The sequence below is a fragment of the Homo sapiens genome, chromosome 8 (assembly GCF_000001405.40).
Source record: "Homo sapiens chromosome 8, GRCh38.p14 Primary Assembly".
Classification (NCBI taxonomy): domain Eukaryota; kingdom Metazoa; phylum Chordata; class Mammalia; order Primates; family Hominidae; genus Homo; species Homo sapiens.
The window spans coordinates 33,029,154-33,053,676 of record NC_000008.11 but is presented as its reverse complement, the minus strand read 5'-3'; the positions used below and the strand labels follow the sequence as shown (position 1 = coordinate 33,053,676).

At 36.8% G+C, this 24,523-nt stretch overlaps 1 long non-coding RNA gene and 1 pseudogene across 9 annotated transcripts in view; both read right to left on the bottom strand.

The window, feature by feature from the left end:
* Positions 1-3,627: 3,627 nt before the first annotated feature.
* LOC105379362 (uncharacterized) overlaps positions 3,628-24,523 on the bottom strand; it is a 122,073-nt gene continuing 101,177 nt past the window's right edge. For 5 of the 9 annotated variants that reach the window (NR_188155.1, NR_188148.1, NR_188151.1 and 2 more), the window contains 2 exons: positions 11,906-12,042; positions 3,628-9,310 (listed from right to left, as the gene is read on the bottom strand). This is a non-coding gene — a long non-coding RNA (uncharacterized LOC105379362). The remainder of the gene's footprint in view (positions 9,311-11,905; positions 12,043-24,523) is intronic. The other 4 variants (NR_188153.1, NR_188150.1, NR_188152.1 and 1 more) reach the window with 2 other exon arrangements.
* On the bottom strand, positions 13,884-14,154 carry RANP9 (RAN pseudogene 9; annotated as a pseudogene).

The following is a 24,523-nucleotide window of genomic DNA, read 5'->3' as shown; positions in this document are numbered from 1 at the left end:
CTTTTGCCCATTCAGTATGATATTGGCTGTTGGTTTGTCATAAATGGCTGTTATTTTGTGGTATGCTCCATCAATACCTAGTTTATTGAGAGTTTTTAACATGAAGGAAAGTTGGAAATTTTATTGAAGGCTTTTTCTACATTTAAAAAGACAAACAATCTGGTGGTTTTTTGTCTTTCTGTTTATGTGATGAATTATGTTTGATTTGCATATGTTGAACCAGCCTTGCATCCCAGGGATGAAGCTGACTTGATTGTAGTGGATAAGCTTTTTGATGTGCTGCTAGATTCGGTTTTCCCGTATTTTACTGAAGATTTTTGCACTGATGGCCTGAAATTTTCTTTTCTTTCTTGTATCTCTGCCAGGTTTTGGTATTAGGATGATTCTGTCCTCATAAAATGAGTTAGGGAGATATCCCTCCTTTTCAATTGTTTGGAATAGTTTCAGAAGAAATGGTACCAGCTCCTTTGTGTACCTCTGGTAGAATTCAGCTATAAATCCATTTGGTCCTGGGCTTTTTTTTTTTTTTTTGGTTGTTGTTGTTAGGCTATTTACTACTGCCTCAGTTTCAGAACTTGCTATTGGTCTATTCAGGGATTCAAGTTCTTCCTGATTCAGTCTTGGGAGTATGTATGTGTCCAGGAATTCATCCGTTTCTTCTAGATTTTCTAGGTTATTTGCATAGAGGTGCTTACAATATTCTCTGATGGTTGGTTGTATTTCTGTGGAGTCAGTGGTTAGGTGCCCTTTATCATTTTTTATTGTGTCTATTTAATTCTTCTCTCTTTTCTTCTTTATTAGTCTAGCTAGTTGTCTATTTTATTTTTTCAAAAAACCAGCTTCTGGATTCACTGATTTTTTTGAAGGGTTTTTTGTGTCGCTCTCTCTCCTTCAGTTCTGCTCTGATCTTATCTCTTGTCTTCTGCTAGCTTTGAGGTTTGCCTTGCTCTTGGTTCTCTAGTTCTTTTAGTTGTGATGTTAGAGTATTGATTTGAGATCTTTGTAGCTTTCTGATGTGGGGATTTAGTGCTATAAACTTCCCTCTTAACACTGCTTTAGCTGCATGCCAGAGATTCTGGTACATTGTCTTTTTGTTCCCATTGGTTTCAAATAACTTCTTGATTTCTGCCTTAATTTCATTCTTTACCCGGAGTCATTCAGGAGCACGTTGTTCAATCTCCACATAGTTGTGTGGTTTTGAATTTTGTAATCCTGAGTTCTAATTTGATTGTACTGTGATCTGAGAGACTGTTGATTTCAGTTCTTTTTCATTTGCTGAAGAGTGTTTTATTTCCAATTATGTGATCAATTTTAGAGTAAGTGTCATGTGGTGCTAAGAATAATATATATTCTCTAGTTTTTGGTTGGAGAGTTCTGTAGATATCTATTAGGTCCACTTGATCCAGAGCTGAGTTCAAGTTCTGAATATCCTTGTTAATTTTGTCTTGATGATCTAATATGTTCTTTTGTATTTTCCCCCCTTAAAGCTATTTATTAAAATTAATAATTGTTTGAAATTTTTTCCTGATTTTTTGGGAGTGTGTTTTCCAATAGACGCAATTCTGTCTTCATTGAATTTATAGTCTATCTTGTTTACTCACTATTATATTCCCAGCATGTAACATTGTACCTGATGCATAAAAATTACTCAATATGTAAAGTTGTTTATTATTAATGAACCAAAAATTAGAAATTAGAAAGTAACTCTTGAATGCAATCTATTATACTAGAGTAAAATGAAATGTTATACGTGAAAGTACTTTTTGTCATGACAAAAGCTTAAAAGGACAAAGTTAAATTGTAATGAAATGTTGCCTCAAATAATTTTGAGTAAGATATATGGCATAAATAAAAGGTGAACATCTGGGGGACCATCTTAGCAGTATGGTACATTCCATTATATTGCAACAGAGAGAAGTGGAGCTGTATTCTACCTCCAAACTCCGATCTCTATATCCCCTTTGTCATTCCTCAAAACATAAAAGGAGTACCCACCAAATCTTTATATCTATCTCTCCTTCCCTATGAATGCCTAAGATGCTGAGAAGATATGCACAATGATTCATTAAGACCATTTGATGTGGATGGATGGGAATAAAATGAATTGAATTCCTTGTTAATTATTGAATAATAGGTCAATTGGTAAATTAGAAAATTTTCCACTTTTGCAGACAATTACCTCTATGTCTGGCATTAAACATCCCGTTGTCCTGGGCCTTATACTTCTGACAGCCTCACTGTACTCTCTAGCTGAGCTCTTCTCCACAGGGCAGAGTGGTGGGGCCAAAGAGATCTTTGTTCACTCAGAGAACTTACCATGCCTTTCATGGTCTGGGCCCTGGATCCTCAGAATTCTTTGCCCAAAACAGCCCTGGCTTCACTTCTGGGCATGTGCAGGCTCTTCACAAAGCTCTACTTCCAAAGAGCAGATCCCAAAGCTGATATGCCTATTCCAAAACCCAAGGAACGGTGGCCTAAGATTGGCTCCTAGTGAGATGAATACAGAGCTCAATGGCTGGGGTGTCCACATACATGTTTGTGAGGTCCCTTGTAGTACAAGATAGAACCCAGGAAGGAAACAGAAGGGACAGCTGCCAGCTGAAGTCTGGGGTGTGGGCAAAAGGGGATCAGCTCTCTCAATGCTGCCATATTCTGGCTGAGGATTTGAGAGAATCTATAGGAATTTCTGCAGGAATTCTGTTTGAATCTGGCCTTCTAACCTGGAACGGGTGATATAAGCAGAGTTGGGAGGTCTGCGCAAGTTGTAAACAGGAATTGGTTGGCTTGGCTTCAGGGTTTCACTGCTCATAGTGTGTGTCTCCTTCTATACCCTTGAGTAGATCCCATAAATGTCAGGGCCAGGCCTGTCCACTTCCCAGTCTCAGACCAAACACCTAATTCTTTTTCAAATTTTCCATTGAATGAAGAGAAATTGTGAAGACTGACAATAACTCAATCCAGTAGAAACATATCTTAGAAGAAATAAAACTATGAGGCACATTCAAGGCTCGGAAACCCATGAGGTTTCCCTATGAGGTTGCCCTATCTTTGTAATATCAGTCTGTAGCTGCAGAGAACCACCACTCCCAAGGGTCCTGGGAGTGTCACACCCAGTGCTTGTGAGTGGGGTGTGCCCCATGAAGATATCATTTCTCACAAAAATCTGTAACCCCTCTGAGGTTTATGTTGTAGGCCCTTTTCCTAGACTGTTATTATTTCCAGGGAGAGACTTGAGAATTATACTAATAGTAGGATGCTAGTGGGTATTTTCTAAGTAAGGCCAAGAGGGCAATCAGGAAGCTGCAGGTCAAGAAGTCAAGAGATGTACAGTGTCTTGTCGATTATTCTAGTGAATGTATTTAGAAAGAATAGTTACGAATTTACTTAGATTGAGGAAAAATGATTAAGCAAGTTAAATTCCAGGTGAAGTGGGAAATTTCAGTTTGGTCTGTGCTCTGCCAGAGACTTGAGATGTGTGCAATGTCATCATTTTATTTCATGTTTCATTGATAGCTAACAATATTAGACATCTCATAATGTTTATTCACCATATGTACTTCCCCTTTTGCAAACTATCTGTCCATGTGTTTGTCTACTGATACATTGGGGCACTAGGGTATTTCTTAGTGTTTTGTAATTTTTGTTCATCTTTTATTCTGTAATACACAGGTTTTACATTTTATCAATTTACAATATAGATTTTAGGGGATTGTGATTTATGTTGTACAAAATCCACATATTACTTAGGACAAAAATAATCCTTAGCCAGATTTTGTCTTTTACTCAAGTGTATGCTATGTAATGTTTAATCCTTTTTAAAAATTAAACCTTTTTATTTTGCAATCATTGCAGATACATAATCAGTAAGAAACAATAGAGAGATCCTGGGCACCATTTATGCCGTTTTCCTCAATAACATCTTGCAAAACTGTGGAACCATAGTCCAACCAGAGTATTGACATTGATAGAACCAACATACAGAATGTTTCAATCACCATAAGGATCCCTCAGGTTGCCTTTTTATATCCCCAACTCCTATCTCTGACCCATAACCCCTCACCCCTAACAACCACTAATCTGTTCATTTCTATACTTTTGTCAGTTCAAAATGTTATACAAATGGAATTACATAGTATGTAATCTTTTGTGATTGGCTTTTTCTGATGCAGCGTAATTCTCCAAAGATTCATTCAGGTTGTTCTGTATATTAATAGTGTTTTCCTTGAGATTTTCTAGGTAGACAATCAGCTTTTTCAAATAAAATTTAATTTCTTCTTTTACCTGTCTTTTATTTCCCTTTATTGCCTAATTGCACTTCATAGAACTTTGAGCACTATGTTGAATAAGCGTCATTAGGGATGATACCCTCACCTTATTCTCAAGCTCAGGAAGAAAACATTCAATCATTCAGCATTAAGAATTATGTTAGCTGAAAGTTTCTTGTAGGTGTCCTTTAATTCCTATTTTTCAGAGCATTTTTACATAAATGAGTGTTGAATTTTGTCAAATCCTTTTTCTGCATTAATTTTATGACATTTCTTCATTAGCTATTAATATTTGCACTACATCGATTGATTTTTAAATATTGAGCCAGTCTTCCATTCTTGGATTAAGTCTTACTGGGTTGTGGTATATAATTCTCATGTATTACTGAATTCTATGTCATATTGTGAAGCATTTTTTGTGTCTATGTTCATGAGATATTGGTCTGTGGTTTTTTGTTATGCTGTTATTCATTACCCAAGTATTTTTATCATTTTTATTTTGAAATTTAATATGCAGGGGTCTATAATTTTATCAATTTGCAGTATACATTTCAGTATCAGGGTATTTACTAGCTCCTTAAAATGAATTAGAAAATACCCCCTTCTATTTTCTCAAAGAGACTGTATAGAATTGCTGTCAAATCTTTATGAATGTGGTGGAATTCTGAAGGAAACAATTTGGCTCTGGAGGCTTTCTTTTTAGGAATTTTTAAATAATGAGTTTAATTAATTTTTTTTTAGTACTTATAAGGCTATTCAAATAATCTATTTTATATTGGGTAAGCTGTAGTAGTTTGTGTTTTCTAGGGAAATGATCTATTTTGTCTAAATTGTCAGATTAATGTGTGTACAGTTCATAGTATCTACTTATCCTTTTGATGTTTGCAGTATTGATAGCGATATCCCATTTCATCTCTGGTATAGGTAAGTCCTTTTTTTTTTTTTTTTGACGGTCTTGCTTGAGGTTTATCAATTAATTGATCTTTTCTAATAACCAGCTCTTTGTTTTATTCTTTAAAGTGTTTATCTGTTTTCAATTTCATTGAGTTCTACTCTTTGTTATTGCATCTTTCTGCTGGCATTGGGTCTATTTTTCCTTCTTTTTTTAGGTTTTTGAGGTGGAAGCTTAGGTTACTGGTTGAAGACTTTTCTTTTCTAGAGCATGCATTTAGTGCTATATATTTTCCCATCAGTTCTGCTTTATGTGTCTCACAAATTTTATGTTGTTTTCATTTTCATTCAGTTCAGTGCATTTTTAAAATTTCTTTTGAGATTTCCTCTATGACCATGGGTTATAAAATATTGTTGTTCAGTTTTCAAGTGTTTGGTGATTTTCCCATTATCATTGTTATTTATTTCTAGTTTGGTTCTTTTGTGGTTGGAGAAAGTACTTGTAGTATTTCAGTTCTTTTAAATTTGTTGAGGCTTGTTTTATGCTCAGGGTCTATCTTTATATGTGTGTTCTGTGAGCACTTGAAGAACATGTATTCTGCTGTTGGAATGTTCTATAAATATCAACTAGATCCTATTGTCTCATGTTGTTGAGTTCTTTTATATTCTTACTGGTTTTCTGTCCAGTTCTATCAATTGTTGAGTGAGGGGTGATAAAGGCCCCAACTATAATGAATGGATTTATCTGTTTCTCCTTTTAGATCTATCAGTTTCACTTCATATATTTTCCAGCTTTGTTGTTTGCTTCATGCACATTTATGATTGCTATGTTCTTTTGGTAAATCGACTATTTCATTATATAATGTCCCTCTCTGATAATTTCCTTAGTTCTGAAGCTGACTTTAATGTTATTAATATGGCCATTCCTGCTCTTTTTGATGGTTTACATAATACACTATTTTATTCCTTTTGATTTCAACCTGACGATGGCATTATCTTCAAAGTGAGTTTATGATAAACAGCATATAGTGTGTCATGTTTTTAAATTCACTCCGTCAATCTTTATATTTTAACTGGTTTTTCTAGTAATCACATTAGACACATAATTTATCATAGTCTATTGGTATGTCATATTAGTGGTTATCTCATGTTCCTTTACTCCCCTCATTTATAACATCACTGTCTTAAATCTTTCCTCTACATATACATCAGATAATGTTATGATTTTTGCTTCAATCATAAGTCATAATTTAGAAAATTCAAGAGGAGAAATTAAACTTAGTGTACTGACCTACATTTTGCTTGCCATATTCATTGTTTCTAACTGAAATTTCAAGATTCCTTATCAATTTCCTTCGTGTTTGGAGAATGTTAGCCATTCTTTTAGGGAGATAAGCTGACAATAAATTCTTAATTTAAAAAAAGTCTGTGCGTGTCCTGATTTCCCCTTTATTCCTGAAAGATATTTTCACTGAGTAGAGCATTTTGTATTGACAGTTGATTTATTTCAGCACTTGAAAAATATCTGTTACTTCCTCATGGTCCCCACAGTTTCTGATGAGAAATCTTCTGTTGTTCAAATTGCTTTTACCATATAGAAAGTGTGTCATTTTTTTCTTGCTGCTTTCCAGATTTTTCTTTTTCTTCCTTAATCAGAAGTTTAATTACTATGTTTCTTGGTGTGAGTGTCCTTGATTTATCCTGTTTAAGGTTTACCCAGCTTCTCAAATTGTAGGTTTAAATCTTTGCAAAATGTGAGAAGTTTTTAAGCCATTATTTAAGTACTTTTTCATTCTTTTCTCTTTCCTGGAATCCAATGACATAAATATTTGCTCTTTAGCACAGGGTCTTGTTCATTTTTTCTAGTCTATTCTAATTTCCTGTAAACTACTTCTTTCCTCAGTCTTTTCCATTCTGTTGTTGAGTCCATCCACGGAGCTTTGCATTTCAGTTATGGTATCTTTTAGTTCTATAATTTCTCTTTGATTCTTATTTATATATTTTATTTCTTAGCTTTATAGCACTTTTTCATTTGTCTCAAGCATGTTTATAATCACTTGCAGTAGCACTTTTATTATAGCTGCTTTAAAATCTTTGTTAGATGATTCTAACAACTTTGTTATCTCAGTGTTAGCATCTATTAATTGTCTTTTTTTCATTTAGTTTGAGATCTTGTCCATTGATATCAAGTAACTTTTGACTGAATCTTTGACATTTTGTAATATGAGACTCTGGTTATTATATAAAGCTTCAGCCTGGAGTGATGACTCATACCTGTAATCCCAGCCCTCCAGGAGGTCAAGGTGGGAGGATCACTTGAGCCCAGGAGTTCCAGACCAGCCTGGGCAACACAGGAAGACCCCATCTCTAGAAAAAATGTTAATGTTAGCTATGTGTGGTGGTGCACATCTGTGGTCTCAGCTACTCAAGAGGCTGAGGTGGGAGGATTGCTTGAGCCCAGGAGGTTGAGGCTGCAGTGAGACCTGATGAGGCCACTGTACTCCAGCGTGGGTGACAGAATAAGACCCTGTCTCCAAAAATATGTATAAAGAAAGAAAGAAATAAGCTTTTACTTCAGCTGGCTTTTTTTTTTGACATTGCTCAGCAGGGAAAAGTGAGGCCCTACTTTATTACTGCCAGAGAGAGGTAGAAGTTTAGGTTGCCCTTTGGCCTTCCTGTAGAGGGGGGTCTACTCATTACTTCTGGGCAGGGTACAAGTCCTGGTCCTCACATGGTCTCCACTAACACCGTGGTGGGGGTGGCCTCCCTACTGAGGAGTAATGCCAAACATTCTGACTCTGCATGGAGCTTCTTTGACACCAGAGAGTAAAGAAGGGAAGGAATACCTCATTAATGCTGGGTAGGTGTTGAAATCTAGGCTTTCCATGTGGTCTCTCTGAAAATAGCAGGTACGGACTCTTTACTTCTGGAGGGGAATCAACATTACAGCTCCTTATTTAGCCTTCTGTGACACTATCCCAGCAGGGGTATTGGAGTAGCTTGTCGCAACCTCTTGAGGTGAAAGTCTGGACTTTCCACTTAGTTTTTACTGATGTGGATTGGGTGATGGCTCACTTTACTTTTTTTGGTAGTGTTTGGCTGGGGTAGGTTGTCTGAAGGTTTTCTGTCTTGCTGGGCTGCCCTACTGTAGTCCTTTGGCTAGAGAGAGCAGACTTTTATTGGGGCTGGTTTTTGGTCTACGTATATTGACATTTTGGGGTCGTTACCTTCTTCAGCTCTAGAGTGGGAAAGCACAGAAAGCAGAAAAGCACTGCAGTGTGGTCCAGAACCTGTCCCTCCCATTGAAAGCTGCAGCTTCTAATCTTTTGACCATGAAGACTCTTGTTTATTGTCCTTTCTGCTTTGGTATCTGTGCATTTCTGTTGAATTTGTGAGCAGTTCTCTAACACCATTGGCAGTGGAATACTTTTCCATTGTGCTTTCTAACTGATTATGAGATATGAGATATTATGGGATATGAGACAAAAAAAAATCACAAATGTAACTCACCACCATATTATTCCTTACATTGTGAAGTCTGTAGCTTACTTGCCTTCTCTTCATCTTTCAGAGACTCCTTCTGTTTGTTCTGTATGTAACGTCCAAGCTTGTTGTAATTAGAGGGAGGAATGGGAAGAAGCGCATCTAATTCAGACTCCCTGAAGTGAAAGTCCTTAAAGCTTCTTTTATTGCTCTCATTTGGTTTGTAGGTATTTTATTTTCATTTTATAGGTGCCACATGGTTCATGTTATGTTCATTCTTAAGTTTACAAATACTCATGTACATAGTTACTATTTTTAAGTCTAATGTATGTAGGATCTAAAACACTTAAATTCTCCATCGTTTCTCAATTTCTCTTAACCTGCAGGGAGAGTCCCAAGAAGCATATATATGTATGAAAAACATTCTAGATAGCATCACATTTTATTACTAATTGCAGTTTTTGATTCCACAACCCTGTATAACTTGGCATTCTGGTGAATTGGACCCGAACATCTGTGAATCTTAAAAATAGTGGTTGACTCATTATGGCTTCCTTATGTATAGGATTAAGAACACAGATCCTGGAATCAGACAGCCTGGCTTCCACACTCTAGCTGGGTGACCATGACCATGAAGAAGTTCCTGAATGTTCCAGTGTCAGTTTATTCACCTACAAAATGAAAATAATATGAGTATTAACTGAAGAGAAATCTGCTGTCATACAAATAGTTTTTGTTTTCCCTGTAGGTAAGGGGAATCTAAGATCATTTTATTCCGGTTGCTTTCCGTATTTTTTCTTTGTCTTTAGTTTTCAGAAGTTTAATTACATTGTGTCTTGATTTGGATTTCTTTGGTTAAACCCGTGTAGGGTTCACCTAGCTTCTTAAACTTATAGGGTTAAGTCTACAGTAAGGCTAAGTATATTAATATGTACGTAGCATTTACAACAGTGTCCACCTCATAAGAACCATTATGTGTTAACGATTAGTATTACCACTGCCTTCCCTCAAGGCAGCACAGAAAGAAGAAAAGTGCTGCATTGTGGTACAAAACCTCCTCCCATTGAAAGCTACGTCTTCTAATCTTTTGACCATGAGGACTCCTGTTTATTGTTCTTTCTGCTTTGGTATCTGTGCATTTCTCTTGAATATGTGAGCAGTTCCCTAACACCATAGGCACTGGAATACTTTTCCATTGTGCTTTCTAACTGGTTATTATTATACTAATAAAGATCATACCTTCGTATCTTTGTAATTGTAGTAAGGTGCACTGCTTTCTTAGGCATTCTAGGACCTTGTGTGTGTGTGTGTGTGTTTGCATTTCCAGGTAGTCAATTATTTTCTAGGTAAATTATAATTCCAGTCACTATATCTTTTACTTCAGTTACACTGCTCAGGACTTGAAAAATGTGATTTTCTTTGCTCTCTTTGTTTTCATTCATTTTTCTTTTTCTGAGACACACATAAGTGTCTTGCTCTGTCACCCAGGCTGGAATGCAGTGGTGTGAACATAGCTCACTACAGCCTTGACATCCTGGGCTCAAATGATCATCCCACCTCAGCCTCTTACCTTGCACAGCTGGTGCTTGTTGTTGTTGTAGAGACAGCGTCTCACTATTTTCCCTAGGCTGTTCTTCAACTCCTGGGCTCATGTGATCCTCCCACCTCAGCCTCCCAAAGCACTGGGATTACAGGCATGAGCCACCATGCCCAGCCTGTTTTGATTTCTTATACAGGTAAAATATCCATCCTCTAATTTCCATGTCAACAACTTCTCTGTCACAATGTCTTTTCTCCCTATGCTCTGCATTCAGGCATCTCATTAATTATTTATTTTTTACTGCCTTCAACCTTTTTATTGATAATTTTATTGCTGTGTAAACATCTCAATATTTTTAGACACTGATGCTCCTTTATTATAGAGTTAGGATGAGCAGAGAAGATAAACCAAATATTTTCTTATCTTCTTCTGGTCTATCTGCATAGGTAAAGAAAAGTCTAGGGCATTTCTTTGATTTTTTGGGGGCTACAATCAACACAATTTCTATTTATATTTTTTCTTTTATTGTATTTTTTAATATGTATTTTTATGGTCTTTTAAAGGAAATTTAAAGATGGTGGATCAGGTATAACTGGTGTGCTACCATTTTAACATAGATATCTATCAAGGGACATCACCCTATAACTGTTACTCATGTGTGAACTTGAGTATGTACTTCTTTGAACTCAAGTTTCATCATATTTAAAACAGGAGAGGAAGAGAGTGTTAAAATTATGTTTTCCAGTTGCAAACATAATCTTTATGTTTGTACTCATAGGAATGTTTAAATTGTGAGGTAGAGATAATGAAATTTAACAAATGAAGATGATTAAAAAATACATATATTTAGCCCAGATTCAGGCAATTGATTATCAAAAACTCCACTCAAAAATAAATGCCTGTGTAAGGTATAACAGTTCTGATACCACTGCACATCTATCTTGGAAATGAACAATTAAGTAAATATGTGGTGAATGGAAACATCTAGGCTTCTCATTACTGGGGTGAGAGTTTACAGGTAAGCAAGGGGAAGAGGCCAGATTAGAACTAAAAGCATTCTAATAGATTAGAATTGAAAACACCTTTATAAACTCACGTTCAGCATAACATACAGTTACATATAGAAATATTTATAAATATGTTTATATACACATAGATTTCCTTGCTCTCTCAACTGAAAGGGTCTGGAAGCAACAACACCCCAGGAATAACAAGCACATCTAGCACCCATATTCAGGTTTTAATACCTTTCTCGAATAAATGGAGTTAGGGTTCCTTGGAAAATGGGCTGATTCTAAGACTGGGGCAGAATATATCTGTGATGATCCTGGAACATCCTTTAGTACCAAAAAAATAAGGCAGTGCTCAAATAAAATACAACAACTCCACATGCATGAGGGCATATCAAACAAACATGAGAATCAACTGAAAGAGCCCCCAGTGGCCAAAGCCACAGCAATTTGAGCAACAAAATAAGTAAAGTGGTATTAGATTATAACCCAAAGTATAAAATAAATATCCATGAGTCCATACGGATATAAATAGTTGAATGAATTAGTAAATTGGTGAGAGTAGACAAATCTTCCATGCAGAAGAATCCAAATAATTTATGGAGATGTTCTGTCCTCAAATAAATAGATCATAACCTCCCCACCCCTTAAGTATGAACTGTGGTTGGCGATTTCTTTTGAAGGAGTACAATATAGAATGGAGGTAAAAACAGTACCTTTACAGAGAAATCTGGCAAACACTACCTCAGCCAGGTGATCAAGTTCAATATTCAGCAATAAGTCATGTTGTTTGTTAGTGTGTGCTCTTGATATGACATGATGAGAATTGCACTTCACTTCTGTGATATTCCCCCTGAAAACACACAACCACAGTCTAGTTAGAACATAAAAAAAAAAAATCAGATAAATCCCAAGGGAGGAAAATTCTACAAAATACCCGTTCAGTACTTCTCAAAACTTTCAAGATCATCAAAAACAAGGGAAGTCTGAGAAACTGTCACAGCCAAGAGGAACCTAAGGAGATATTATGATTAAATGCAACGTCGTATTGTAGTTGGGATCCTGGAATAGAAAAAGGATATTTTGTTTAAAAAAAAACTAAATAAATAGGCATTAGGTATAAACTTTAGTTAATAATTTATCAGCATTAATTTATTAATTATAACTAATACACCATACTAATGTAAGATGCCAATAATAGAGAAAATTGGCTGTAGGATATGTGGGAACTCTATCAACTGCAATTTTTTCCTGTAAATTTCAAACTGCTCTAAAATAAAAATACCTGTGGAATAAATGAGTGAATGGAAGGAAAAACAGTGTAGGAAAAAAGGATAGAGATTTTTAAAATTTATGTACTGAAGAGAGCTTTGCAGAAAATCTATTGGATTAGTTTTTAAATATAGACTAGAATAATTCTTTTCTCTTGCAAAAATAGATGCAAATAGAAGACAAAAAGTTTGAACACTGTGTAACACAGCCAGCATGTAGCCAATAGCATTTAATTTCAGTAAATAGCTTATAATCACAATAATCAGGCCAGGGACACTGAGCCAGCTATTAGAACTATTTTTTTCCAATAAAATAATTGCCTTAATTCAGACTGAGAAAATATTTGGGGGAGGAGGGTTAGAATAGTAAATACATCCACCAAAATTATTAATTAGCTTTATACAGCTATGGCCAAAGACACAGAAATAACTGGCTCTTATTAGAGAAATAAACCAAAAGAGGATAGGAACGGTATTGCACAATTGTGTTGCTTTGAAACTGTGAGAGTTTCTCAGACTTTCTTTGTTTTTGATGATCTTGAAAGTTTTGGGAAGTACTGGAAGCCATATTTTGAAATCCTATTGATACAGAATCATCTTAAAATGATGCGTTTGTCATGTAATTGTTTTTCATAATGTAGATAAGTGATACATCAATGTCTTATTTTATAAATATTTGCCAGTAATCTAATGATCATAGGCTATTTTTATGCTTCCTTTAATTTTCAAGGAATTTTTAATGCTTGATGATTTTTAGTCAATTCAGTTTACTTTTCCTCCATTACAATAAAATGTTATCAAATTAAATACACACATGCACAGAAGAAGAAGAAAACTACTTATAATCCCATGTTAACTGTTTAAAACGTATTTCCCATTAGGTTTAAGTGCTGGGATTACAGACATGAGCCACTGTGCCTGGCTTATTTTTTAATTTTGAACTATAATTGTGACTATATGTATATTTAATTTGTATTCTGCTTTTTATCAGTTTACTACAGTATTTTTTATATATTTTAAATTTTTAATAATGTGTTGTTATATCTTGATTTACTAGTTTGTTGGATATTTAGAGTTTTTCCCAGGGATATTTTATTCACTCATGTATGTCCCAATTCCAGAAGAAAAATCGAAACCCAGTGATTTTGTGTCTGAGTGTGTTGTGACTATAGCATTCTTACATTTGAAACTCAGGAAGGAAACAACTGGGATCTAAGCAGCCAAATATGGAGGTCTAAAATATAAAGGTATTTTTTTTTAAACTGCCACATTCATTCCCTTTAGCATCCCAAAGTTTGAGCTCACAGTCTGGTTGGCCATATAATAAAATGGGATCTCAGACATCAGAGAACGCTGCATCTCAGACATCAGAGAACAAGCACCTATGAAAGTAGGCTTCTGACTTCACCTTCTCTTGCAGGGTATCATTCCCCTCAGGAGAACAGTTGTCAGAGCCACACTAAGTCATGTGCTTCATGAGTTTCCAGAGGTAGATCCATGGCAACCTCTGGTAGGACCAGAACAAACACAGCAAGGCACTTCTGGTAAGCATTGTCAGTTAGTTTTCCAGCAAGCCAATGAAAAGGTCTTTCAAAGTTGCCATTGCTTCTGGCAGAAATGTCGTAGCACTAGTGATATTTGTTTCACTGGAAGACAATAAATTTTGCCTTAATTTTCCTGTCTTTACTATCCATTACTGAAGCAGCTACATTGTCTATGATAAATACCCAGGTTTCATCATCTTGTGCCAGGAAAATTTAGGAGCAGAGGTTTAATAGGCAAGAGAAAGGAAAATAGCTCTCTAGTGACAGAGAGGGGAGTTCCGAGGGTAAAAGGCAGCCTGCTGGTGGTGGATGCACCAGATTTTATAGTCTGGCTTGGGGAGGCAGTGTTTGATTTACTTAGGGCTCAGAAATTGGTTTAATCAGGTATGACGTTTACATAGGGCACTGGGGAAGGCTGGCTGCCTCACCCTAATCTTATTATGCAAATGAACTTTCCCCTTGGCCAGAGCCATCTTGTCTGCTCCTTACTGTACAGGTAGCTGGTGGAGAATGCAAGATGGAGCTGCCATTTTGAACACGGTTGGCACAACTGCCAGCATCTATGTCTACAGCTCCATTTTACAGGCTGCTCTTTGTTAGAAAGAAAAATGATTTGGGGCTGCTCTTCATTAAAAGGAAAACCTTACTAAGCACTTCTGTACCCTCACTATCTGCCTGTTATAAATAAAGTTTTTGGTGCCACAGAAGAAATAGCACTCGAATAGAAAATTTTCTTTTTTTTCTTCTCAGCAAGGCAGTTTACTTCTATAGAAGGGTGCAACCTCACAGATGGAGCAATGGTGAATGCACACCTGGACAAGGGAGTTTCGAAAAGGGGGTCTTATTCCTGATGCACGTGGCCCCTGCTGCTGTGTAGTTCCCCTGTTGGCTAAGGTTAGACAGCACAGGCTAAACTAATTCCGGCTGACTAATTTGAAGATAGTGACGGGGTGAGTGGTTTGGTGGGAAAAATGGTTATGGCAGAGCAGGAAATCGGAATGAGTCAGGATGGAGCAGGTAATCAGAAAAGGTTGCTTTATGAGGAAGTTAAGTTTAAAAGTAGAAGGCAAAGAATTGAACCTACTGACATATTGATTCTTTGAAGAGAAATTTAGAACTCATATCTAACATGCCTAACTCCGGTGTCATTGCATTGCCACACAATGTGATGGGATGTTTCCATATACTGCCATCTGACCTCAGTGCCAATTAGATACATACTTATAAGTCTTGATGTTATATCAGACATGATAATGGTACACTGGACTTGGATACAACAGCCATTTATCAGGCCACCAAGTGTATGTTTGGTACATTGAATTTAAAAGGTCTAGTGTTGGTAGGAAACACAGGTGATGGACCTCAATAACTAAAGTGACTATATGCTTCTCAAATTCACCATTCAAATGACATTAACATTTCCCAAATATAGTTTTACCAGTACTGCCATCTCCAGCCAACACATGTTTAAGTAAAACTTAGGAATGTCCTTGGGCAGCCATCATAAAGGCTCTTCCAGAAGTATCTGTTCCTCACCTGACTGAGCCGAAATACATTTGTTTGTTTTTAATCTGAGTTCATGGTGAAAATGGGAACACTTAAAATATCAAATATTGAAGCATGAAAACGCCTTCAGATATTTTCATGATATATCTTAAAAATGATGAACTATTATTTGAATTAAAAACTCTCCAATTCATCAGGATTGTATGCATTAATTCATATAATGTTTATTAAGAACCTACTAGGTGCCAGGCACTGTTCTACATGCTATAAGGAAAGCAGATAAAATTCCTGCATTCATGGAGCATATCTTTTTCACAGCCCAGAATTAAGGAGCCACTGCCTCCTGAGGTGGTTGGTAATGCCAGGAAAATGACCAGTCCTGGAAAAAATCTTGACCAGACACTGGAAACTCCTTATATTCTACTCTAGGTTCACCTCTGTTGACATAGAGTGAGGAGATAGAAAGATGCCAGAAGAGGAAATCAAAGTCTTCTAAAATGAGAGAGAGAAACTATGAAGCAAGTACTGATTTTCTGATCAATGAGCAAGTTCCCAATTTTATGTATCTGGGGACTGGGGAAATTTGTTGGTTAAAGGAAAGGAGGGTGGGAGGGAAACCAGCAAGATTGAGTTGGATACACTCTACAAAAAACCCTACCATGTAAGACAGAGAAAAACAATGGTTAATATGCACTAAAATCTGGATGTAAATCAGAGTTCAAAAGCCACACATTGTCCAACTAGAAGCACAACTCTGAATACTGGGTTTTATGACTGGTTTTGAACTAGGAAGCTGCTCAGGCTTTTAAAATTTTGTGGGATAGTTTTTGGTGGTGGGAGGAAGCAGAAGCCAATACTTCAGAAACTACAGAGGACCACGGGGAGTGAGAAAGGTTCGTGGCAAGCTAAGGGCCAATACTGTCGAATTAGATTTTTTTAATCCAACAAGAGCAGTCATTAAATTTAGAGGATCAGTCCTATGTTTCACACTGCATTTAAAGGATGAAAAGCAGGGCCACAGCTTTGGAATTAGTCTCTATCTTGTCTGGATGGGAAAAGGAAAGTCATTGGGGAGCCTGCCAAACATTGTATGGAAAATACAAAAGTGAGCCCAGGAAGAAAATAGTTTAATTTTCCCCAAGGAAAACAGACAAAAGGAAGAAGAAAAGAACTAGAGTATATGATAGAGACAGATCATACTGATTTGCTTCCCTTAAACACGGTCTCTCATCACATCCTTGAAGACATTATTTGGATAATTTACCACTGTTGTGTCAAAAGAAGGCAAAGTAAAGGACAGGCTGTGAAAAGGGGCTCAGAAGAAGTTAGAAAAACATGGACCTTTGTATATTTTCCTGTCATAAAATACTAGTTTGTTTGGGGTGAAGCAAAATGGAGTTGAACTTGGTTAAAGGAAAGGAAGTGAAATGAAGAGTGCCTTGTTGTTCAGGTGCACGGTGCCTGTGGATTTCAGCCAAGCCACAAATGTTGCATTACCAGCATAATGCTCCTCTACCAGAAACTTGATGCAGCATCGTGGGATTGTGCTCACTGCACATGGTTTGGCCCCTTTTAACACATCAAGTGCTGTTTTTGTCATATGACAAATAATTTTTGTCTCCTTAGATGAGAGTGACTATCAATTTCTCTTAGAACTTGAAGTGAAAAACTGTAAGGCATGAATAAATAATTTCTTCTGAATTAATATCGAGTATCATCTTGATCTAAATATGCATCTTCGAAGTGGGAAGGAGAATTTTGGAAAGGTTTATGTCTGTGAAACATTGAGTGAAACAAAAATCTCTGATTTCCCCCATAAATGGCTACTCTTTAATGGGACTCTCAATCTGAGACAGGAATGGTTGCCTGGTTCGTCAGCATCATGAGGTTTCAAATATTAGCTAGGCATGAAGAGTGATACAGTCATTAGACATGAACTGAAAGAAAGGATTTTTTCTGCATCCTTAAGGCTGTACTGTGATGTAAACATACACACACACACAGAGACACACACACTCTCTCCAATGACATCAGTCGAAACTTCCTGTGAGCAACTGGGAAAGGGACTTGGCTCAGAATTCCAAGAAACCCAACCTGAGATTTTAAACCACACTTCTTTCCAGTGCTTTCCAATTGATTCAATTTCAACGAAATTATCATTGTCCCTGGTTCCAATAGCAAACTGAAGGGAGAAGTAAATTAGGAAGGAAAAACATTTTGTTGGAAAAAAAGATGTGACTCTGTGGAAACATTTCAGAGGGGCCCCAAACAGATGAACTCCAAAGGTGCTATTCCCATGTTCTGTCAGGTTACCTGGAAACAGATGTTCCATGGAACTATGGCAGTGGCTGAAGGTGAGTAGGAATGGAAAAATGAGGACAAAGACCCACAAACACCTCCTCTTTCCCTCAGCCTCATTTGTGTTCCTGATATCAAAGCTAAACTGCTATTTGGCAAACATAGAAGAAGAAGAGAGAGGAAGTCACAGTATATTTCCATTTCTTGTCCAGTTTCCAGTTCCATGTCAGTACAGCTGAACCTTGGATGGCCTAGCAACTCCCTACGGAGGTCTGCTTGGCAGAATGAAGGAGCTTGTGTTAAAGGACAGCCTTCTGTGGCTCTCAGTCCACAAGCTGTCCATCCCCTCTGACCTCCATCAGTATCACAGTGATGATAGCAGCACAAAGACTACTTCACATCAAAAATACAAGAATTTTATGCAGGGAAGACACTAGACAGTGCCTCCTTGGCCAAAGTCCAGTCTGGCTAGAGAAATTTGTCTGCAAAAAGAAAATAAAAGCTGCCCTGTGCCTCAAACAGTGGGTGGTCTAAGTCCACACACACACAGCAGCTTCTCCATGACTGACAAATGGCACAATTAGTGGATTACTGGTGTAGTAATGTGAAAATGTCCATTTGAGATAACATGGCTTAGCCAGGCATGGTGACACATGTCTGTAGCCCCAGTAACTCAGGAGGCTAGGGTAGGAGGATCCTTTGAGCCTAGGAGTTTGAGGCTATAGTGTGCTTTGATCATGCCTATGAATAGCCACTGCACTCCAGTTTGAGCAACATAGCACAACCCCATCTTTAAAAAGAATAGATAACATAGCTTATCAGTTACCACCACTGACATAACCAGAATACTTGACTATAATAAATTTTGAATTGCATTATAATGTGAAATCAGTTAATTGCCAAAAGTAATGTGCTTTTTGACATGAGGTTCTGAATTGCAGGGTGCTGAAAAAAAATTGCCTGTGGTATAGTCAACTATTTTTGAAAGTAGCCAAGAAAAGAATTCAGGTCTCCTGCTGGCTGTTCCAGGCTTAATGATTTACCTTTGGTAGACACAGTGCTTGTTTTGGATTTCACACAAGTTGGCATGAAATCCAGAAAACTTTGAACAGATGGTCCCCAAGGCCATCTATGTCCTCAAGTAAGAATTCAATGCAATGTCTTTTGCTAACAAGAGATGTATGTCAGGGGAGAAAATCTCTCAAAATTTTAGAGAAATGTCTTTGGATATACCCAGGCCTGCCACCGCATCACAAACAGCATCATTTGAAGGCTTTGTTTCTTACTGGGGTATCCCTGAAAATCTTATCTAGGACCATATCTAAGAAAACCTCTCAATTCCTGGAGAGTTCTGAGGCTTTCAAAGAATATCCACAGTAGTGTGGAAGCTCTGCTTTCTAGCGGAACTCCTGTGGAACTTCCTGGAGTTGTGAGCCTTAATTATTTTTAGTTGACACATAATGTACATATTTATGTGATACAGTGATATTTTGATACATGTATAAAATGTGTAATGATCAAATCAAGGTAATTGCATATCCATCACATGAAACATTTATTCTTTCTTCGTGTTGGGAGCATTCAAAATCCTATCTTGTAACTATCTGAAAATACACAAAACTATTGTTAACTATAGTCATCCCACAGTGCTGTAGAACACTAGAACTTATTCCTCCTATCTAGCTGTAATTTTATATCTACTAACCAACCTTTTCTATCGTCCCCTCCCCTTCCAAGCTTCTGACAACCATAATTATATTTCGATAAGCTCAACATTTTTTAGCTTCCACATGTGAGTGAGAATGTGAAATATTTATCTTTCTGTGCTTATTTCACTTAACATAATGTCCTCCAGGCTCATCCATGTGTACATGTACCACATTTTTTTTGTCCACCCACCTGTTGATGGACAGGTAGCTTGATTTAATATAGTTTCCATTGTGAATAGTGTTGCAATGAAACAAGGAGGTTGAGACATACCTTAGATATATTGATTTCCTTACCTTTGGATAAATAACCAGCAGTGGGATTGCTGGATCATAAGGTAGTTCTGTTTTTGGTTCTTTGAGGAACTTCCATACTGTTTCTCATAATGGCTGTACTGATACATTTCCAACAACAATATATAAGAGCTTCCTTTCTCTGAATCCTCATGAGCATTTTTTTTTTTTGTCTTTTTGATCATAGCCATTCTAACTGGAGTGAGATGATACCTCATTGTGTGGTTTTGATTTGCATTTCCCTTATGATTAGTGATGTTGTGCATTTTTTTTTCATTTACTTCTTGACAATTTGTATGTCTTATTTGGGAAATGTCTATTCAGCTCTTTTGCCCATTTTAAAATCATATTATTTGATTTTGTTGCTGTTGAGTTCCTTTTATAATCTGAATATTAGTTCCTGGCTGGATAATGTTTGCAAATATTTTCTCCCATTCTACAGGTTGTCTCTTCACTTCGTTAACTGTTTGCTATGCAGAAACCTTGGTTTGACATCATTCCATTTGTCTATTTTTGCTTTTGTTGCCTGTGTTTCTGAAGTCTTAGCCATAAAATCAATGCCTAGCCTACTGCCTAATTTTCAGTGATACATTTAAGTCTTTAATCATTTTGAGTTTATTTTTGTAAATGGTGAGAGATAGGAGTCTAGTATTCTTCTGCATATGGGTATCCAGTTTTCCCAGCACCATTTATTGAAGATAGTTTCCTTTCTCCAATGTAAGTTCTTGATATCTTTGTCAAAATTCAGTTGGCTCTAAGTATAGGGATTTATTTCTGAGTTCTGTGTTCCATTTGTCTATATGTCCTTTTTTATATCAGTCCCATGCTGTTTTGGTTACTATAGCCTCATAGTATATTTTGAACTCAGATGGTGTGACACTTCCAGCTTTGTTCTTTTTGCTCAGGATTGCTGTGGCTCATCAGGGCCTTTTGTGGTTCCATACAAATTTTAGGATTGTGTTTTCTGTTTCTGTAAATGATGTCATTGATATTTTGATAGGAATGCACTGAATCCATAGATTCCTTTGGGAAATGTGGTTATTTTAACAATATTCTTATAATCCATGAGCGTGGAATGTCTTCCTATTTGTGCATGTGTGACCTCTTTAATTTCTTTTATCAGTGTTTTTGAGTTTTCCTTGTAGAGATTTCTTACCTCCTTGATTTTTTTGTCTCTTTAGCTATTATAAACAGGATTGCTCTATTAATTTCTTTTTCAGCTATTATGTTATAGGAATATAGAAACAGTACTGATTTTTTTTTTTTTTTTTTTTCAGATGGAGTCTTGCTCTGTCTCCCAGGCTAGAGTGCAGTGGTGTGGTCTCGGCTCACTGCAACCTCTGCTGCCCGGGTTCAAGCAGTTCTTGTGCCTCAGCCTCCCGAGTAGCTGGGACTACAGGCATGCACCACCATGCCTGGCGATTTTTTTTTTTATTTTTAGTAGAGATGGGGTTTTGCCCCATTGGCCAGGCTGTATGTTGATTTTGGATCCTGTAACTTTATTGAATTATCAGTTCTAAGAGTTTTTTTGGGGAGTCTTTAGGTGTTTCGACATATAAGATCATGTCATCTATAAAGAAGGACAATTTGACTTCCTCTTTTCCAATTTGAATGCCCTTTATTTCTTTTTCTTGTCTAATTGCTCTGGCTAAGAATTCCTATAATACAGTGAGTAGGAATGGTGAAAGTAGGCATCCTTGTCTTGTTCTGGTTGTTAGAGAAAAAGCCTTCAGCTTTTTCCCATTCAGTATTAGGTTAGCTGTGGGTTTGTCACATATGGCCTTTTTTTATGTTGAGGTTTGTTCCATCTATGGCAAATTTGTGGATTGTTTTTCTTATATAGGGATGTTGAATTTTACCAAATGCCTTTTCTGTGTCTATGTAGATGGTTATATAGTTTTCTTCGTTCTATTGATATGATGCATCACTTTTATAGATACAGGTATTTTGAACTACCTTTCCAGCTCTGGGATAAATCCTGCTTGATCACGCTGTATTATCTTTGTGATGCGGTTGGATTTGGCTTGCTAGTATTTTGTTCAGGGTTTTTGCACCTATGTTTATCAGAGATATTAGCCTGTAGTTATTGTTGTTTTTGTTGTCCTCATCTAGTTTTTTTCTTTCTTAAGTTCTGGGATACATGTACAGAATGTGCAGGTTTGTTACATAGGTATACACATGACAGGGTGGTTTGCTGCACCCATCAACCCGTCATCTACATTAGGTATTTCTCCTAATGCTATCCCTCCCCAAGACCCCCACCCCGTGACAGGACCCAGTGTGTGATGTTCCCCTCCCTGTGCCCTGTGTCCATGTGTTCTCCTTGTTCAACTCCCACTTATGAGTGAGAACATGTGGTATTTGGTTTTCTGTTCCTTTGTTAGTCTGCTGAGAATGACAGTTTCCAGCTTCATCCATGTCCCTGCAAAAGAACATGATCTTTTCCTTTTTTATGTCTGTGTAGTATTCCATGGTGTATATGTGCCACATTTTCTTTATCCAGTCTATCATTGATGGGCATTTGGGTTGGTTCCAAGTCTTTGCTATTGTGAATAGTGTTGCAATAAACATGTGTGTGCATGTGTCTTTATAGAATGATTTATAATCCTTTGGGCATATACCCAGTAATGGGATTGCTGGGTCAAATGGTATATCTGGTTCTAGATCCTTGAGGAATTGACACACTGTATTCCACAATAGCCAAATGAATTTACACTCCTACCAACAGTGTAAAAAAGTGTTCCTATTTCTCTACATACTCTCCAGCATCAGTTGTTTCCTAACTTTTTAATAATCACCATTCTAACTGGCATGAGATGGTATCTCACTGTGGTTTTGATTTGCATTTCTCCAATGACCAGTGATGATTACCTTTTTTTCATATTTCTGTTGGCTGCATAAATGTCTTCTTTTGAGAAGTGTCTGTTCATATCCTTTGCCCACTTTTTGATGGGGTTGTTTGTTTTCTTGTAAATTCTTGTAAATTTGTTTAAGTTCTTGGTAGATTCTGGATATTAGCCCTTTGTCAGATGGATAGACTGAAAACATTTTCTCACATTCTGTAGGTTGCCTGTTCACTCTGATGATAGTTTATTTTGCTGTGCAGATGCTCTTTAGTTTAATTAGATCCCATTTGTCTATTTTGGCTTTTGTTGCCATTGTTTTTGGTGTTTTAGTCATGAAGTCTTTGCCCATGCCTATGTCCTGAATGGTATTGCCTAGGTTTTCTTCTAGGGTTTTTATGGTTTTAGGTCTTACATTTAAGTCTTTAATCCATCTTGAGTTAATTTTTGTATAAGGTATAAGGAAGGGGTCCAGTTTCAGTTTTCTGCTATATTTCAGCAGTGAAGCCATCAGGTCATGTAATTTTCTTTGTTGGGAAATATTTATTACTCATTCAATCTTGTTGCTTCTTGTTGGGCTGCTCTAGTGTTAGGTGTATATATATTTACAACTGCGGTATCCTCTTGCTGAATTTATCTTTTTATCATTATATAATGATGACATTCTTTGTGTGTGTGTGTGAGTGTGTGTGTGTGTGTTTTTTTTTTTTTTTTAAGATGGAGTCTCACTCTGTCGCCCAGGCTGGAGTGGAGTGCAGTGGTGCGATCTCAGCCCACTGCAAGCTCCGCCTCCTGGGTTCACGCCATTCTTCCACCTCATCCTCCTAAGTAGCTGGGGCTACAGATGCCTGCCACCACACCCGGCTAATTTTTTTTATTTTTTGTATTTTTAGTAGAGATGGGGTTTCACCATGTTAACCAGGATGGTCTTGATCTTCTGACCTCATGATCCACCTGTCTTGGCCTCCCAAAGTGCTGGGATTACAGGCATGAGCCACCGCACCTGGCCTGTGTTTTTAAACTTAAAGTATATTTTGTCTGATGTAAGTATAGCTACACCTACATGTTTTTGGTTTTCATTTGCATGTAATATTCTATTCCTTCACTTTCAGTCTATATGTGTCTTTATAGGTGAAATGAGTTTCTTGTAGACAACATATAGATGGCTGTTTCTTATCCATTTATCCAATCTATATCTTTTCATTGAGAAATGTATACCATCTGTAGCCAAAATTGTTATTGACAGGCAAGGACTTACTCCTATCATTTTGTTAATAGTTTTCTGGTTCTTTTAAAAATTTATTCCTTTGTCTTATAGTTTATCCTTGTGGTTTTTCAATAGTGAAAACTTTTGATTCTTTTTTGTCATTTATGTATCTGCTCTACAAGTGAGTTTTATACTTTGGTTTATTTTCATAACGGTAGATATGGTCTCTTCACTTCTACATATAGGACTATTTTAAAATTTTCTTGTAGGGTTGGTCTAGTGGCGATAAATTCCTTCAATTTTGCTTGTCTGGGACAGACTTTGTCTTCTTTTTTCCTGAAAGATTGCTTTGCTAAATATGGTATTGTTGCCTGGCAGTTATTTTTCTCTTTGCAATTAAAATATATTGTCCCATTTGTTTCTGCTGAGAAAACCTTCGTGAGTCTGATGGGGATTCCATTATATGTGACTTGATGCTTTTCTCTTGGTGTTTTTTAGAATTCTGCTTTACGTTTGACTGTAACACATCTCAAAGAGGACCTTTTTGAATTGACCCTACTTATGGATCTTTGAGCTTCCTTTATCTGGATGTCTATATTGCTTCCAAGACTTGGGAAATTTTCACCTATAATTTCATTATGTTTTCTATGTCATTTCTCATATCT